General features: G+C 56.3%; 1 protein-coding gene and 1 long non-coding RNA gene across 23 annotated transcripts in view; one reads left to right on the top strand and one right to left on the bottom strand.

Moving 5' to 3' along the window:
- IL3RA (interleukin 3 receptor subunit alpha) overlaps positions 2,984-15,833 on the bottom strand; it is a 45,905-nt gene continuing 33,055 nt past the window's right edge. For all 7 annotated transcript variants that reach the window (NM_002183.4, XM_005274781.2, NM_001267713.2 and 4 more), the window contains 3 exons: positions 6,909-7,014; positions 4,569-4,650; positions 2,984-3,282 (listed from right to left, as the gene is read on the bottom strand). In NM_002183.4, the coding sequence (NP_002174.1) occupies positions 3,208-3,282; positions 4,569-4,650; positions 6,909-7,014 (263 nt within the window). In that variant the 3' untranslated portion in view covers positions 2,984-3,207. The remainder of the gene's footprint in view (positions 3,283-4,568; positions 4,651-6,908; positions 7,015-15,833) is intronic.
- The window catches only part of LOC101928032 (uncharacterized), a 41,505-nt gene continuing 32,868 nt past the window's right edge, over positions 7,197-15,833 (top strand). For all 16 annotated transcript variants that reach the window (XR_007068475.1, XR_001756028.2, XR_007068474.1 and 13 more), the window contains exon 1: positions 7,197-7,351. This is a non-coding gene — a long non-coding RNA (uncharacterized LOC101928032). The remainder of the gene's footprint in view (positions 7,352-15,833) is intronic.

Here is a 15,833-nt window from a genome sequence, read left to right as displayed (position 1 = left end):
ATGACTCCCAAAGACCCCCACTTCCCAACGCCATCACTTGGGAGAGGGGCGTTTTCAGCGTGAATCTTGGGGAAACTGAAACAGGCGTGACACCCTGCGTTCCTCTCCACCTCCTGTAGCTCCCGAGGGCCACTCCAGCCCCCATTCCAGCATGAACAGTGGAGTCGGTCGGGGTCCCCAGAGTGGCAGCTGTGTGTCCGCGGGTTCACCCGTGAGAATCCACCACAAGGGGTACCCACCGCGAGGCACGACAGCTTCCTTCAAGCTCTTTCTGCTCAAACATTCATTGCGGGGCAAGAAAAGCCGTGTTGAATCTCTACCGGGCCGAACCTTGGGCCTTGGTGTCAGCGCACGGCAGGGCCACAGAGACTACAGCCCTGGGGTTCCAGAGCCGGCTCTCCCGTGCTCTCCAGAAATCCCAGCCATAGTAAAAAGAATCTGTTTTTTGAGATGGAGTCTCGCTCTCGCCCAGGCTGGAGTACAGTGGTGCAACCTCTGCCTCCCAGGTTCAAGCAATTCTCCTGCCTCAGCCTCCCAAGTAGCTGGGGCTACAGGCATGCGCCACCACACCCGGCTGATTTTAGTATTTTTAGTGGAGATGGGGTTTCACCATGTTTACCTACCTGGCTGCTCTCGAGCTCCTGGACTCAAATGATCCGCCCACCTAAGCCTCCGAACATGGTGGGACGACAGGTATGAGCCACCGCTCCTGGCCCGAAAGGCAGACTCTACATCTCTGCACTTGGCCAGGTAGAAACCCTCATTTGTGTCCCGATGATATCAGAGATCAGGAAAGCTCCGTGAGCCCTCGTCTTGGTCACGTGACTCGGCCCAGAGGCAAGTGGCAAAGCAGGACCTTCCACCATCAGCCCTGTGGGTCCTGCACACCCTCCACAAAACAGCCTCGACCCACGGGGACCTGGGCTCCGAGTTCCTGCCTGGAGCTGTGGTCACTGCTTCATTCACTCTTGGATGTATTTTCACTCCTGATACTTAATAGTTTTTTATTTTTATTTTTTTATTTTTTTTGAGACGGAGTCTTGCTCTGTCCCCCACGCTGGAGTGCAGTGGCGCAATCTCAGCTCACTGCCACCTCCGCCTCCTGGGTTCAAGCGATTCTCCTGCCTCAGCCTCCCAAGTAGCTGGGATTACAGGCAGCCGCCACCATGCCCGGCTAATTTTTGTATTTTTAGTAGAGACGGGGTTTCACTGTGTTGGTCAGGCTGGTCTCGAACTCCTCACCTCAGGTGATCCACCCTCAGCCTCCCAAAGTGCTGGGATTACAGGTGTGAGCCACCGCGCCCGGCACTTAATAGATTTTAACCTAGTAATTGGGGCATGGTTTCCTCCGCGGATCAAGTGAAATCCTACATGGTACACTGGACTTTGGGGAATTCGGTAGTGGCGGGGAGGTTCTCCAAAGTTACAATTCAAAGACCAACAAGTTTACTCCTTGATTTTTTTTTTTCTTTGAGATGGAGTCTCTTGTCACCCAGGCAGGACTGCAATGGTGTGGTAACGGCTCAACTCTACTTCCATCTCCGAGGTTCAAGCCATTCTGCCTCAGCTTCCCACGTAGCTGGGATTACAGGTGCCCGCCACCATGCCCGGCTAATTTTGTTTTTTTGTTTTTGAGACAGAGTCTCACTCTGTCACCCAGGCTGGAGTGCTGTGGCGCAATCTCAGCTCACTGCAAGCTCCACCTCCCGGGTTCACGCCATTCTCTGCCTCAGCCTCCTGAGTAGCTGGGACTACAGGCGCCTGCCACCACAGCCCGGTAATTTTTTTTGTGTATTTAGTAGAGACAAGGGTTTCACCGTGTCAGCCAGGCTGGTCTCAATCTCCTGACCTCGTGATCCGCCCGCCTCGGCCTCCCAAAGTGCTGGGATGACAGGCATGAGTCACTGTGCCTGGCCAGTCCTGCACAATCTTGAAATGCTGAGGCTCTCAGCAAGCTGAGTGTTGGAGATAACTTCATAGACAGTAATACATGGTGGCATAGCTGTTTTTAAGAGAATCCTGCCTTGTGGGTACTATCAAAATCACAGTTCCAGTTGGGCTCAGTGGTTTACCTCTGTAATCCCAGCACTTTGGGATGGTGAGGCAGGTGAATCACCTGAGGTCGGGAGTTCAGGACCAGCCTGACCAACATGGAGAAGCCCTGTCTCTACTAAAAATAAATGTTAGCCAGGCATGATGGTGCATACCTCTAATCCCAGCTACTCGAGAGGCTGAGGCAGGAGAGTTGCTTGAACCCAGGAGGCAGAGGTTGCTGTGAGGTGAGATTGTGCCACTGCACTCCAGCCTGAGTGACAGAGCCAGACTTTGTCTCAAAAAAACAAACAGGGGTGGTGGGGGGCCAGACTCGGTGACTACAGGCCAGCCTGTAATCCCAACATTTTGGGAGGCCGAGATGGGCGGATCACATGAGGTCAAGAGTTCCAGACCAGCCTGGCCAACATGGTGAAACCCCGTCTCTACTAAAAACACAAAGCTAGCCGGGCGTGGTGGCATGTGCCTGTAGTCTCAGCTATTCGAGAGGCTGAGGCAGGAGAATCGCTTGAGCCCAGGAGGCAGAGGTTGCTGTGAGCTGAGATGGTGCCACTGCACTCCAGCCTGGGTGACAGACCGAGACTCGGTCTGAAAAAAGAAAAAAGGCCAGGTGTGGTGGCTCACGCCTGTAATCCCAGCACTTTGGGAGGCAGAGGCGGGCAGATCACAAGGTCAGGAGTTCGAGACCGGCTAATATAAAAATTAGCCAGGGGTGGTGGCAGGTGCCTGTAATCCCAGCTACTTGGGAGGCTGAGGCAGGAGAATTGCTTGAGCCCGGGAGGCAGCGGTTGCAGTGAGCTGAGATTGCATCACTGCACTCCAACCTGGGAGACAGATCCTGACTCCATCTCCAAAAAAAAAAAACCGGGGAAACAGTCTCTCTAGTAGTGTTGGAGGAATGGGGCTGAATCCAGAGACCGGGACCAGTGAGTGGGTTAAAAAAAAAAAAATCACTTTATCATGAAATAAACACACAAAGTTCTGTTCTTCTTCCTGGCAGCTTCGGACGAAATTACACAGGCATCTCCCATGCCCACCACCCGTTAGGAATGTCCATTCCTGGGCTGCGTGCGCAGGTCCAGCAGCCAGTCTGTGCAGGCGCCTGGCCCGGCCAGGGAGATTGAGGCAGACCCCCACAAGCCCTGAACCCCAGTCTCAAGTTTTCTGCACGACCTGTACTTCAGTCACCAGACACTCCTCCAGGCCGGCTTTGCCCGCCTCCCAGACCACCTGCAGAGACGAGAGGAGGCAGGGTGAGTCGGCCACCCCCCAGATAACAGAGCCCACGTCCTGATCTGCGGGGGCCTGTCCCATCTCAGATCTGCTCTGTGGGCCAGGCATGGTGTCTCACGCCTGTCATCCCAGCACTTTGGGCCAGGCGCGGTGGGTCACACCTGTAATCCCAGCACTTTGGGAGGCCGAGGCGAGCGGACCATAAGGTCAGGAGATCCAGACCATCCTGGCCAACATGGTGAAACCCCTTCTCTACTAAAAATGCAGAATTAGCTGGGTGTGTTGGTGCATGCCTGTAGTCCCAGCTACTTGGGAGGCTGAGGCAGGAGAATCGCTTGAACCTTCAACCGGGAAGGTGGAGGTTGCAGTGAGCCGAGATTGCACCATTGCACTCCAGCCGGGGCAACGAACAAAACTGCGTCTCAAAAACAAAAACAAACAAAACAAAACAAAACAAAAAACTCTGACAGAGATGTCTGCCTCCTTTTCCTCTGCCCTTCCTTTCTCTTAGGGACACAGGTATCACTAAAAACTTGTTGAAAACTAGGCTGGGCATGGTGGCTCATGCCTGTAATCCCAGCACTTTGGGAGGCCGAGGCAGGGGGATCACAAGGTCAGGAGATCGAGACCATCCTGGCCAACATGGTGAAACCCCGTCTCTACTAAAAATACAAAATTAGCTGGGCGTGTCGGTGCGTGCCTGTAGTCCCAGCTACTCGGGAGGCTGAGGCAGGACAATCGCTTGAACCTTGGACTGGGAAGGTGGAGGTTGTGGTGAGCCAAGATCGCACCATTGCACTCTAGCCTGGGCAACAAGAGCAAAACTCCATCTAAAAAAAAAAAAAAAAATCTGCTCTGCTCTGGTGTGCAGGGTGCGGAGACGGCCCGTGATCACGGTGGGCTGGGAGCCCAGTGTCCCCCCACTCCCTTCATCCTGCAGCTTTTCCCAGCCGCCCACCAGCGCCAGCAGACAGGTGTCCAGCCTCCTAGTCCAGGCCATTTCACTCTTGTCGCCCAGATGGAGTGCAGTGGCTCGATCGTAGTTCACTGCAGCCTCCACCTCCCGGGTTCAAGTGATCCTCCTCCCTCAGCCTCCCGAGTAGCTGGGATTACAGGCGCCCGCCACCACACCCGGCTAATTTTGTATTTTTAGTAGACACGGAGTTTCTCCATGTTGGCCAGGCTGGTCTCCAGTTCCTGGCCTCAAGTGGTCCGCCCGCCTGGGCCTCCCAAAGTGGCCACCACGCCTCCAGACCCGTCCCAAGGCAGAAAAAACAACATACCAGCTTGTCGTTTTGGAAGCTGTCACCGATGGGGTCTTTCATGTGAGGGATGCGGGGAAAGAGTCTCTGCATCACCAGATACCTCGGAGGAAAGAGAAATGGCCCAGCTCTGAACCCAAAACCGACCAGCTCATCATCTGGGACACAGCGTGTCCAGGACAGACAGTGCCAGGACAGAGCAAAAGACTCAAGTCATCTACTCGAGGGGTCTCTATTTTCCCGGCCCCTGAGGCCCTGACACGCCCCCGACCATCATCATAGGCAGGCGCTGGTGTCTAATTAAAGGAGTAGGGCGCTGGTACCGGAGCCACCCAGGGGTGCAGCTGCAAAGACAGACCCCTGGTGCCTCAGGTCACTGAGTTTACGACCTGAGACAGCTTGCAGGAAGGGCCTCGTCCCCCTCTTCCTCCCCCTTTTCCTCCCTCCTCCACCCCTTCCCCCCTACCCCTCCCTCTCCCCCTCCCCCTCTCCCTCCTTCCCCCTCCCCACTCATCCTCCCCTCTCCTCCTCCCCCTTCCCCCTCCCCCACCCTCCCCCTCGCCTCTCCTCCCCCTCCTCCTCCTCCCCTTCCCCCTCCTCCCCCTCTTCCCTTCCCCCTCCTCCCTTCCCCCTCCTTTCCCCCCTCCCTTCCCCCTCCTCCCTTCCCCCCTCCTCCCCCCTCTTCCCCTTCCCCCTCCCCCTCCCCTTTTCCCCCTTCCCCCGGGAGACAGAAGTCACCATGGCACCCATTTGACAGATTGTGAAGCTCTGATGCCCAGCAGGAAGGAAACAGGGCCTGGCTGGTCATGGTGGCTCAAGCCTGTAATGCCAGCACTTTGGGAGGCCCAGGCGGGCAGATCAACTGAGGTCAGGAGTTCGAGAACAGCCTGACCAACATGGAGAAACTCCATCTCTACTAAAAATACAAAATTATCTGGGCATGGTGGCACACGCCTGTCATCCCAGCACTTTGGGAGGCCCAGGCGGGCAGATCAACTGAGGTGAGGAGTTCAAGACCAGCCTGATCAACACGGAGAAACTCCGTCTCTACTGAAAATACAAAATTATCCGGGCATGGTGGCTCACGCCTGTCATCCCAGCACTTTGGGAGGCCGAGGCGGGTGGATCACATGAGGTCAGGAGTTCAAGACCAGCCTGACCAACACGGAGAAACCCCATCTCTACTAAAAATACAAAATTAGCCAGGCGTGGTGGCACATCCTTGTAATCCCAGCTACTCAGGGAGGCTGAGGCAGGAGAATCGCTTGAACCCAGGAGGCAGAGGTTGCAGTGAACCGAGATGGCGCCATTGCACTCCAGGCTGGGCAACAAAAGCAAAACTCCTTCTCTAAAAAAAAGGAGACAGGACCTGGGGTGACCCAGCTGGTGACCAAAAACCTCGAGTTGGTCTGCATGACGGATCCTGGCCCATCCAAGTGGACAGCTGTGACGTTCGCCCAGGCCCCTTCCCGACCAGAAAGCCTGGCCTTTCGCCCTCTGACTGTGTCAGGCCCGCTGGGCAGGGCAGGGGAGGACCGGCCCTGCTTCCTCCACCCTGGGGACACCCTTGGTCCCACCAGAGCCCTCAGCTTTGGCTCTACAGACCTCCTGGCAGGGGGCAGCTAGCAGAGAGGACCTGGCCCCTGGTCTTTTGTGAATAATTCTCAAGGGGCCAGGTGCGGTGGCTCACGCCTGTAATCCCAGCACTTTGGGAGGCCGAGGCTGGGGGATCACTTGAGGCCAGGAGTTCAACACCAGTGTGGCCAACATGGTGAAACCCCGTCTCCACTAAAAATACAAGAATTAGTTGGGTGCAGTGTTGCACACCTGTAATCCCAGCTACTCGGGAGGCTGAGGCAGGAGAATCACTTGAACCCGGGAGGTGGAGGCTGCGGTGAGCCGAGATCGAGCCACTGCACTCCAGCCTGGGTGACAGAGCAAGACTCAAAAAATAATAATAATCATAACAATAATAATAATATGGGCCAGGCGAGGTGGCTTACGCCTGTAATCCCAGCACTTTAGGAGGCTGAGGCAGGTGGATCACCTGAGTCCAGGAATTCAAGACCAGCCTGGCCAACATGGCAAAACCCCGTCTCTACTAAAAATACAAAAATTAGCTGGGTGTGTTGCTGGGTGCCTGTAATCCCAGCTACTTGGGAGGCTGAGGCAGGAGGATCGCCTGAACCCAGGAGGCAGAGGCTGCAGTGAGCCCAGATCGTGCCACTGCACTCCAGCCTGGGAGACAGAGCGAGACTCCATCACAAAAATAATAATGATAATTCTCAGGATGGTTCTGTGAATAACTTTCAGGGTCACACTGGAAACAAGCGACGCTCGCGGACGCCCTCGAGGGCTCACCTTCTGCAGATCACGAAGACACAGACCAGGGCCAGCAGCGTCCCCAGCGCGATCAGCAGCGACGTCCGCCAGGCACGTGTGTTTGCGCCCTCCTCCTGGTCGCACTCTAGGGGTAAAGGGTGAGAGGGTCACAGACCGGGGGCCGTCCTGGGGGGACCAGGGACTGTAAGCTCTCCCCGGGGCCCTGGGAAGCAGAGAGGTGGCTGCCATATGGGGTGGCGTCCAGGGGGGGACACCCCAGTAGTGCCACCTGCACAGAGACCGTGACCACCTGCGGGCCACCTGCAGGCCACCTGAGTACCAGGACCGGGAGCGACTTCCGGACCTCCCAGCCCCAGTCTGGAACCCTAAGGGAGCGGAAAGACCACCAGGGATCCCTGTCTGCCTGGTGCTCGGGACACGGGGAGCGCCAGGGACTTCCACTGTGCCCAGCAGGCCGGCAGGTGCTTTGGGTGTGGGCAGCATGGAGGGGCAGCAGAGGCAGCACTGGCGTGCGTGCTTTGAACTTGATTTTGTGTTTATCATGGAATTTGTGTGTGTGTGTTAATTTTTTCTTTTTCTTTTTCTTTTTTTTTTTTTTTTGAGATGGAGTCTCGTTTTGTCGCCCAGGCTGGAGTGCAGTGGCACGATCTCAGCTCACAACCTCCACCTCCCAGGTTCAAGCGATTCTCCTGCCCCTGCCTCCCGAGTAGCTGGGACTACAGGCGCCCGCCACCACGCCCGGGTAATTTTTGTATTTCTCATAGAGATGGGGTTTCACCATCTTCGTTAGGCTGGTCTTGAACTCCTGACCTCAAGTGATCCACCCGCCTCGGCCTCCCAAAGTGCTGGGATTACAGGCGTCAGCCACGCACCCGGCCTATTTTTTTTCTTTTTTCTTTTTTTTTTTTTTGAGACAGAGTCTCGCTCTGCAGTGCTGTGGTGCTATCTCAGCTCACTGCAACCTCTGCCTCCCGGATTCAAACGATTCTCCTCTCTTAGCCTCCCGAGAGGATCGCTTGAGCCCAGGAGGTCGAGGCTACAGTGAGCCGTGATCGCGCCACTGCCCTCCAGCCTGGGCAATAGAGAGAGACTCTCTCTCCAAAAAAAAAAAAAAACATACATCTATGACCTCACCCCCAGAACCTATGACGATAACCTTATTTGGAACGAGGGTGGATCTGTCTGCTGGGACTGCCATAAAAAAGTCCCACAGCTTGGTGGCTTCAGAAAAAAGGAATTTGGCCGGGCGCGGTGGCTCACGCCTGTAATCCCAGCGCTTTGGGAGGCCAAGGCGGGCGGATCACCTGAGGTCGGGAGTATGAGACCAGCCTGGCCAACATGGCCAGAAAGCCCGTCTCTAATAAAAATACAAACAGTAGCCGGGTGTGGTGGCGGGCGCCTGTCATCCCAGCTACTCAGAAGGCTGAGGCAGGAGAATGGCCTGAACCTGCGAGGTGGAGGTTGCAGTGAGCCAAGATCACGCCACTGCACTCCAGCCTGGCGACAGAGTGAGACTCCATCTCAGAAAAAGAGGAAAAAAAAGAAAAAAGAAAAAGAAAAAAGGAATTGATTCTCCCACAGTCCTGGAAGCTGCAGGTCCAAGATCAAGAGATGGGCATGGGCAGGGCTGGTTCCTCCTGAGGCCTCTCTCCTGGGCTTGGAGACCCCGTCTTCTCCGTGTCCCACAGGGTTGTCCCTTGGTGTGTGTCTGTGTCCTCATCTCCTCTTCTTATGAGATGTCTTAGTCCATCTCAGGCTGCTGTCACAGAATACCAGAGGCTGGGCGGCTTAGAAACAAAACACATTGATTCTCCCACAGCCCTGGAGGCTGGAGGTCTGAGATCCAGGTGTGGGCAGGGCTGGTTCCTCCTGAGGCCCCTCTCCTGGGCTTGGAGACGCCGTCTTCTCCCTGTGTCCCACAGGGTCGTCCCTCCGTGTGTGTCTGTGTCCTCATCTCCTTTTTATGGGATGTCTTAGTCCGTTTCAGGCTGCTGTCACAGAATACCAGAGGCTGGGCGGCTTAGAAACAAAACACATTGATTCTCCCACAGCCCTGGAGGCTGGAGGTCTGAGATCCAGGTGTGGGCAGGGCTGGTTCCTCCTGAGGCCTCTCTCCTGGGCTTGGAGACGCCGTCTTCTCCCTGTGTCCTCACAGGGTTGTTCCTCCGTGTGTGTCTGTGTCCTCATCTCCTCTTCTTATGAGGTGTCTTAGTCCATCTCAGGCTGCTGTCACAGAATACCAGAGGCTGGGCGGCTTAGAAACAAAACACATTGATTCTCCCACAGCCCTGGAGGCTGGAGGTCTGAGATCCAGGTGTGGGCAAGGCTGGTTCCTCCTGAGGCCTCTCTCCTGGGCTTGGAGACGCCGTCTTCTCCCTGTGCCCTCACAGGGTCGTCCCTCTGTGTGTGTCTGTGTCCTCATGTCCTCTTCTTATGAGATGTCTTAGTCCATCTCAGGCTGCTGTCACAGAATACCAGAGGCTGGGCGGCTTGGAAACAAAACACATTGATTCTCCCACAGCCCTGGAGGCTGGAGGTCTGAGATCCAGGTGTGGGCAGGGCTGGTTCCTCCTGAGGCCCCTCTCCTGGGCTTGGAGACCCCGTCTTCTGTGTCCCACAGGGTCGTCCCTCTGTGTGTGTCTGTGTCCTCATGTCCTCTTCTTATGAGATGTCTTAGTCCATCTCAGGCTGCTGTCACAGAATACCAGAGGCTGGGCGGCTTAGAAACAAAACACATTGATTCTCCCACAGCCCTGGAGGCTGGAGGTCTGAGATCCAGGTGTGGGCAGGGCTGGTTCCTCCTGAGGCCCCTCTCCTGGGCTTGGAGACCCCGTCTTCTCCCTGTGTCCCACAGGGTCGTCCCTCTGTGTGTGTCTGTGTCCTCATCTCCTCTTCTTATGAGATGTCTTAGTCCATCTCAGGCTGCTGTCACAGAATACCAGAGGCTGGGCGGCTTAGAAACAAAACACATTGATTCTCCCACAGCCCTGGAGGCTGGAGGTCTGAGATCCAGGTGTGGGCAGGGCTGGTTCCTCCTGAGGCCCCTCTCCTGGGCTTGGAGACCCCGTCTTCTCCCTGTGTCCCACAGGGTCGTCCCTCTGTGTGTGTCTGTGTCCTCATGTCCTCTTCTTATGAGATGTCTTAGTCCATCTCAGGCTGCTGTCACAGAATACCAGAGGCTGGGCGGCTTAGAAACAAAACACATTGATTCTCCCACAGCCCTGGAGGCTGGAGGTCTGAGATCCAGGTGTGGGCAGGGCTGGTTCCTCCTGAGGCCCCTCTCCTGGGCTTGGAGACGCCGTCTTCTCCCTGTGCCCTCACAGGGTCGTCCCTCTGTGTGTGTCTGTGTCCTCGTCTCTTCTTATGAGATGGCTTAGTCCATCTCAGGCTGCTGTCACAGAATACCAGAGGCTGGGCGGCTTAGAAACAAAACACATTGATTCTCCCACAGCCCTGGAGGCTGGAGGTCTGAGATCCAGGTGTGGGCAGGGCTGGTTCCTCCTGAGGCCCCTCTCCTGGGCTTGGAGACCCCGTCTTCTCCCTGTGTCCCACAGGGTCGTCCCTCTGTGTGTGTCTGTGTCCTCATCTCCTCTTCTTATGAGATGTCTTACTCCATCTCAGGCTGCTGTCACAGAATACCAGAGGCTGGGCGGCTTAGAAACAAAACACATTGATTCTCCCACAGCCCTGGAGGCTGGAGGTCTGAGATCCAGGTGTGGGCAGGGCTGGTTCCTCCTGAGGCCCCTCTCCTGGGCTTGGAGACGCCGTCTTCTCCCTGTGCCCTCACAGGGTCGTCCCTCTGTGTGTGTCTGTGTCCTCGTCTCTTCTTATGAGATGGCTTAGTCCATCTCAGGCTGCTGTCACAGAATACCAGAGGCTGGGCGGCTTAGAAACAAAACACATTGATTCTCCCACAGCCCTGGAGGCTGGAGGTCTGAGATCCAGGTGTGGGCAGTGCTGGTTCCTCCTGAGGCCCCTCTCCTGGGCTTGGAGACGCCGTCTTCTCCCTGTGTCCTCACAGGGTCGTCCCTCTGTGTGTGTCTGTGTCCTCGTCTCTTCTTATGAGATGGCTTAGTCCATCTCAGGCTGCTGTCACAGAATACCAGAGGCTGGGCGGCTTAGAAACAAAACACATTGATTCTCCCACAGCCCTGGAGGCTGGAGGTCTGAGATCCAGGTGTGGGCAGGGCTGGTTCCTCCTGAGGCCCCTCTCCTGGGCTTGGAGACGCCGTCTTCTCCCTGTGCCCTCACAGGGTCGTCCCTCTGTGTGTGTCTGTGTCCTCATCTCCTCTTCTTATGAGATGTCTTAGTCCATCTCAGGCTGCTGTCACAGAATACCAGAGGCTGGGCGGCTTAGAAACAAAACACATTGATTCTCCCACAGCCCTGGAGGCTGGAGGTCTGAGATCCAGGTGTGGGCAGTGCTGGTTCCTCCTGAGGCCCCTCTCCTGGGCTTGGAGACGCCGTCTTCTCCCTGTGCCCTCACAGGGTCATCCCTCTGTGTGTGTCTGTGTCCTCGTCTCTTCTTATGAGATGGCTTAGTCCATCTCAGGCTGCTGTCACAGAATACCAGAGGCTGGGCGGCTTAGAAACAAAACACATTGATTCTCCCACAGCCCTGGAGGCTGGAGGTCTGAGATCCAGGTGTGGGCAGTGCTGGTTCCTCCTGAGGCCCCTCTCCTGGGCTTGGAGACGCCGTCTTCTCCCTGTGTCCCACAGGGTCGTCCCTCCGTGTGTGTCTGTGTCCTCATCTCCTTTTTATGGGATGTCTTAGTCCGTTTCAGGCTGCTGTCACAGAATACCAGAGGCTGGGCGGCTTAGAAACAAAACACATTGATTCTCCCACAGCCCTGGAGGCTGGAGGTCTGAGATCCAGGTGTGGGCAGGGCTGGTTCCTCCTGAGGCCTCTCTCCTGGGCTTGGAGATGCCGTCTTCTCCCTGTGTCCTCACAGGGTTGTTCCTCCGTGTGTGTCTGTGTCCTCATCTCCTCTTCTTATGAGGTGTCTTAGTCCATCTCAGGCTGCTGTCACAGAATACCAGAGGCTGGGCGGCTTAGAAACAAAACACATTGATTCTCCCACAGCCCTGGAGGCTGGAGGTCTGAGATCCAGGTGTGGGCAAGGCTGGTTCCTCCTGAGGCCTCTCTCCTGGGCTTGGAGACGCCGTCTTCTCCCTGTGCCCTCACAGGGTCGTCCCTCTGTGTGTGTCTGTGTCCTCATGTCCTCTTCTTATGAGATGTCTTAGTCCATCTCAGGCTGCTGTCACAGAATACCAGAGGCTGGGCGGCTTAGAAACAAAACACATTGATTCTCCCACAGCCCTGGAGGCTGGAGGTCTGAGATCCAGGTGTGGGCAGGGCTGGTTCCTCCTGAGGCCCCTCTCCTGGGCTTGGAGACCCCGTCTTCTGTGTCCCACAGGGTCGTCCCTCTGTGTGTGTCTGTGTCCTCATGTCCTCTTCTTATGAGATGTCTTAGTCCATCTCAGGCTGCTGTCACAGAATACCAGAGGCTGGGCGGCTTAGAAACAAAACACATTGATTCTCCCACAGCCCTGGAGGCTGGAGTTCTGAGATCCAGGTGTGGGCAGGGCTGGTTCCTCCTGAGGCCCCTCTCCTGGGCTTGGAGACCCCGTCTTCTCCCTGTGTCCCACAGGGTCGTCCCTCTGTGTGTGTCTGTGTCCTCATCTCCTCTTCTTATGAGATGTCTTAGTCCATCTCAGGCTGCTGTCACAGAATACCAGAGGCTGGGCGGCTTAGAAACAAAACACATTGATTCTCCCACAGCCCTGGAGGCTGGAGGTCTGAGATCCAGGTGTGGGCAGGGCTGGTTCCTCCTGAGGCCCCTCTCCTGGGCTTGGAGACCCCGTCTTCTCCCTGTGTCCCACAGGGTCGTCCCTCTGTGTGTGTCTGTGTCCTCATGTCCTCTTCTTATGAGATGTCTTAGTCCATCTCAGGCTGCTGTCACAGAATACCAGAGGCTGGGCGGCTTAGAAACAAAACACATTGATTCTCCCACAGCCCTGGAGGCTGGAGTTCTGAGATCCAGGTGTGGGCAGGGCTGGTTCCTCCTGAGGCCCCTCTCCTGGGCTTGGAGACGCCGTCTTCTCCCTGTGCCCTCACAGGGTCGTCCCTCTGTGTGTGTCTGTGTCCTCGTCTCTTCTTATGAGATGGCTTAGTCCATCTCAGGCTGCTGTCACAGAATACCAGAGGCTGGGCGGCTTAGAAACAAAACACATTGATTCTCCCACAGCCCTGGAGGCTGGAGGTCTGAGATCCAGGTGTGGGCAGGGCTGGTTCCTCCTGAGGCCCCTCTCCTGGGCTTGGAGACGCCGTCTTCTCCCTGTGCCCTCACAGGGTCGTCCCTCTGTGTGTGTCTGTGTCCTCGTCTCTTCTTATGAGATGGCTTAGTCCATCTCAGGCTGCTGTCACAGAATACCAGAGGCTGGGCGGCTTAGAAACAAAACACATTGATTCTCCCACAGCCCTGGAGGCTGGAGGTCTGAGATCCAGGTGTGGGCAGGGCTGGTTCCTCCTGAGGCCCCTCTCCTGGGCTTGGAGACGCCGTCTTCTCCCTGTGTCCTCACAGGGTCGTCCCTCTGTGTGTGTCTGTGTCCTCATCTCCTCTTCTTATGAGATGTCTTAGTCCATCTCAGGCTGCTGTCACAGAATACCAGAGGCTGGGCGGCTTAGAAACAAAACACATTGATTCTCCCACAGCCCTGGAGGCTGGAGTTCTGAGATCCAGGTGTGGGCAGGGCTGGTTCCTCCTGAGGCCCCTCTCCTGGGCTTGGAGACCCCGTCTTCTCCCTGTGTCCCACAGGGTCGTCCCTCTGTGTGTGTCTGTGTCCTCATCTCCTCTTCTTATGAGATGTCTTAGTCCATCTCAGGCTGCTGTCACAGAATACCAGAGGCTGGGCGGCTTAGAAACAAAACACATTGATTCTCCCACAGCCCTGGAGGCTGGAGGTCTGAGATCCAGGTGTGGGCAGGGCTGGTTCCTCCTGAGGCCCCTCTCCTGGGCTTGGAGACCCCGTCTTCTCCCTGTGTCCCACAGGGTCGTCCCTCTGTGTGTGTCTGTGTCCTCATGTCCTCTTCTTATGAGATGTCTTAGTCCATCTCAGGCTGCTGTCACAGAATACCAGAGGCTGGGCGGCTTAGAAACAAAACACATTGATTCTCCCACAGCCCTGGAGGCTGGAGTTCTGAGATCCAGGTGTGGGCAGGGCTGGTTCCTCCTGAGGCCCCTCTCCTGGGCTTGGAGACGCCGTCTTCTCCCTGTGCCCTCACAGGGTCGTCCCTCTGTGTGTGTCTGTGTCCTCGTCTCTTCTTATGAGATGGCTTAGTCCATCTCAGGCTGCTGTCACAGAATACCAGAGGCTGGGCGGCTTAGAAACAAAACACATTGATTCTCCCACAGCCCTGGAGGCTGGAGGTCTGAGATCCAGGTGTGGGCAGGGCTGGTTCCTCCTGAGGCCCCTCTCCTGGGCTTGGAGACGCCGTCTTCTCCCTGTGCCCTCACAGGGTCGTCCCTCTGTGTGTGTCTGTGTCCTCGTCTCTTCTTATGAGATGGCTTAGTCCATCTCAGGCTGCTGTCACAGAATACCAGAGGCTGGGCGGCTTAGAAACAAAACACATTGATTCTCCCACAGCCCTGGAGGCTGGAGGTCTGAGATCCAGGTGTGGGCAGGGCTGGTTCCTCCTGAGGCCCCTCTCCTGGGCTTGGAGACGCCGTCTTCTCCCTGTGTCCTCACAGGGTCGTCCCTCTGTGTGTGTCTGTGTCCTCATCTCCTCTTCTTATGAGATGTCTTAGTCCATCTCAGGCTGCTGTCACAGAATACCAGAGGCTGGGCGGCTTAGAAACAAAACACATTGATTCTCCCACAGCCCTGGAGGCTGGAGGTCTGAGATCCAGGTGTGGGCAGTGCTGGTTCCTCCTGAGGCCCCTCTCCTGGGCTTGGAGATGCCGTCTTCTCCCTGTGTCCTCACAGGGTCGTCCCTCTCTGTGTGTCTGTGTCCTCGTCTCTTCTTATGAGATGGCTTAGTCCATCTCAGGCTGCTGTCACAGAATACCAGAGGCTGGGCGGCTTAGAAACAAAACACATTGATTCTCCCACAGCCCTGGAGGCTGGAGGTCTGAGATCCAGGTGTGGGCAGGGCTGGTTCCTCCTGAGGCCCCTCTCCTGGGCTTGGAGACCCCGTCTTCTCCCTGTGTCCCACAGGGTCGTCCCTCTGTGTGTGTCTGTGTCCTCATCTCCTCTTCTTATGAGATGTCTTACTCCATCTCAGGCTGCTGTCACAGAATACCAGAGGCTGGGCGGCTTAGAAACAAAACACATTGATTCTCCCACAGCCCTGGAGGCTGGAGGTCTGAGATCCAGGTGTGGGCAGGGCTGGTTCCTCCTGAGGCCCCTCTCCTGGGCTTGGAGACGCCGTCTTCTCCCTGTGCCCTCACAGGGTCGTCCCTCTGTGTGTGTCTGTGTCCTCGTCTCTTCTTATGAGATGGCTTAGTCCATCTCAGGCTGCTGTCACAGAATACCAGAGGCTGGGCGGCTTAGAAACAAAACACTGATTCTCCCACAGCCCTGGAGGCTGGAGGTCTGAGATCCAGGTGTGGGCAGTGCTGGTTCCTCCTGAGGCCCCTCTCCTGGGCTTGGAGACGCCGTCTTCTCCCTGTGTCCTCACAGGGTCGTCCCTCTGTGTGTGTCTGTGTCCTCGTCTCTTCTTATGAGATGGCTTAGTCCATCTCAGGCTGCTGTCACAGAATACCAGAGGCTGGGCGGCTTAGAAACAAAACACATTGATTCTCCCACAGCCCTGGAGGCTGGAGGTCTGAGATCCAGGTGTGGGCAGGGCTGGTTCCTCCTGAGGCCCCTCTCCTGGGCTTGGAGACGCCGTCTTCTCCCTGTGCCCTCACAGGGTCATCCCTCTGTGTGTGTCTGTGTCCT

Source organism: Homo sapiens, chromosome Y, assembly GCF_000001405.40.
Source record: "Homo sapiens chromosome Y, GRCh38.p14 Primary Assembly".
NCBI lineage: Eukaryota > Metazoa > Chordata > Mammalia > Primates > Hominidae > Homo > Homo sapiens.
This window is presented reverse-complemented; position numbering and strand designations above follow the sequence as displayed.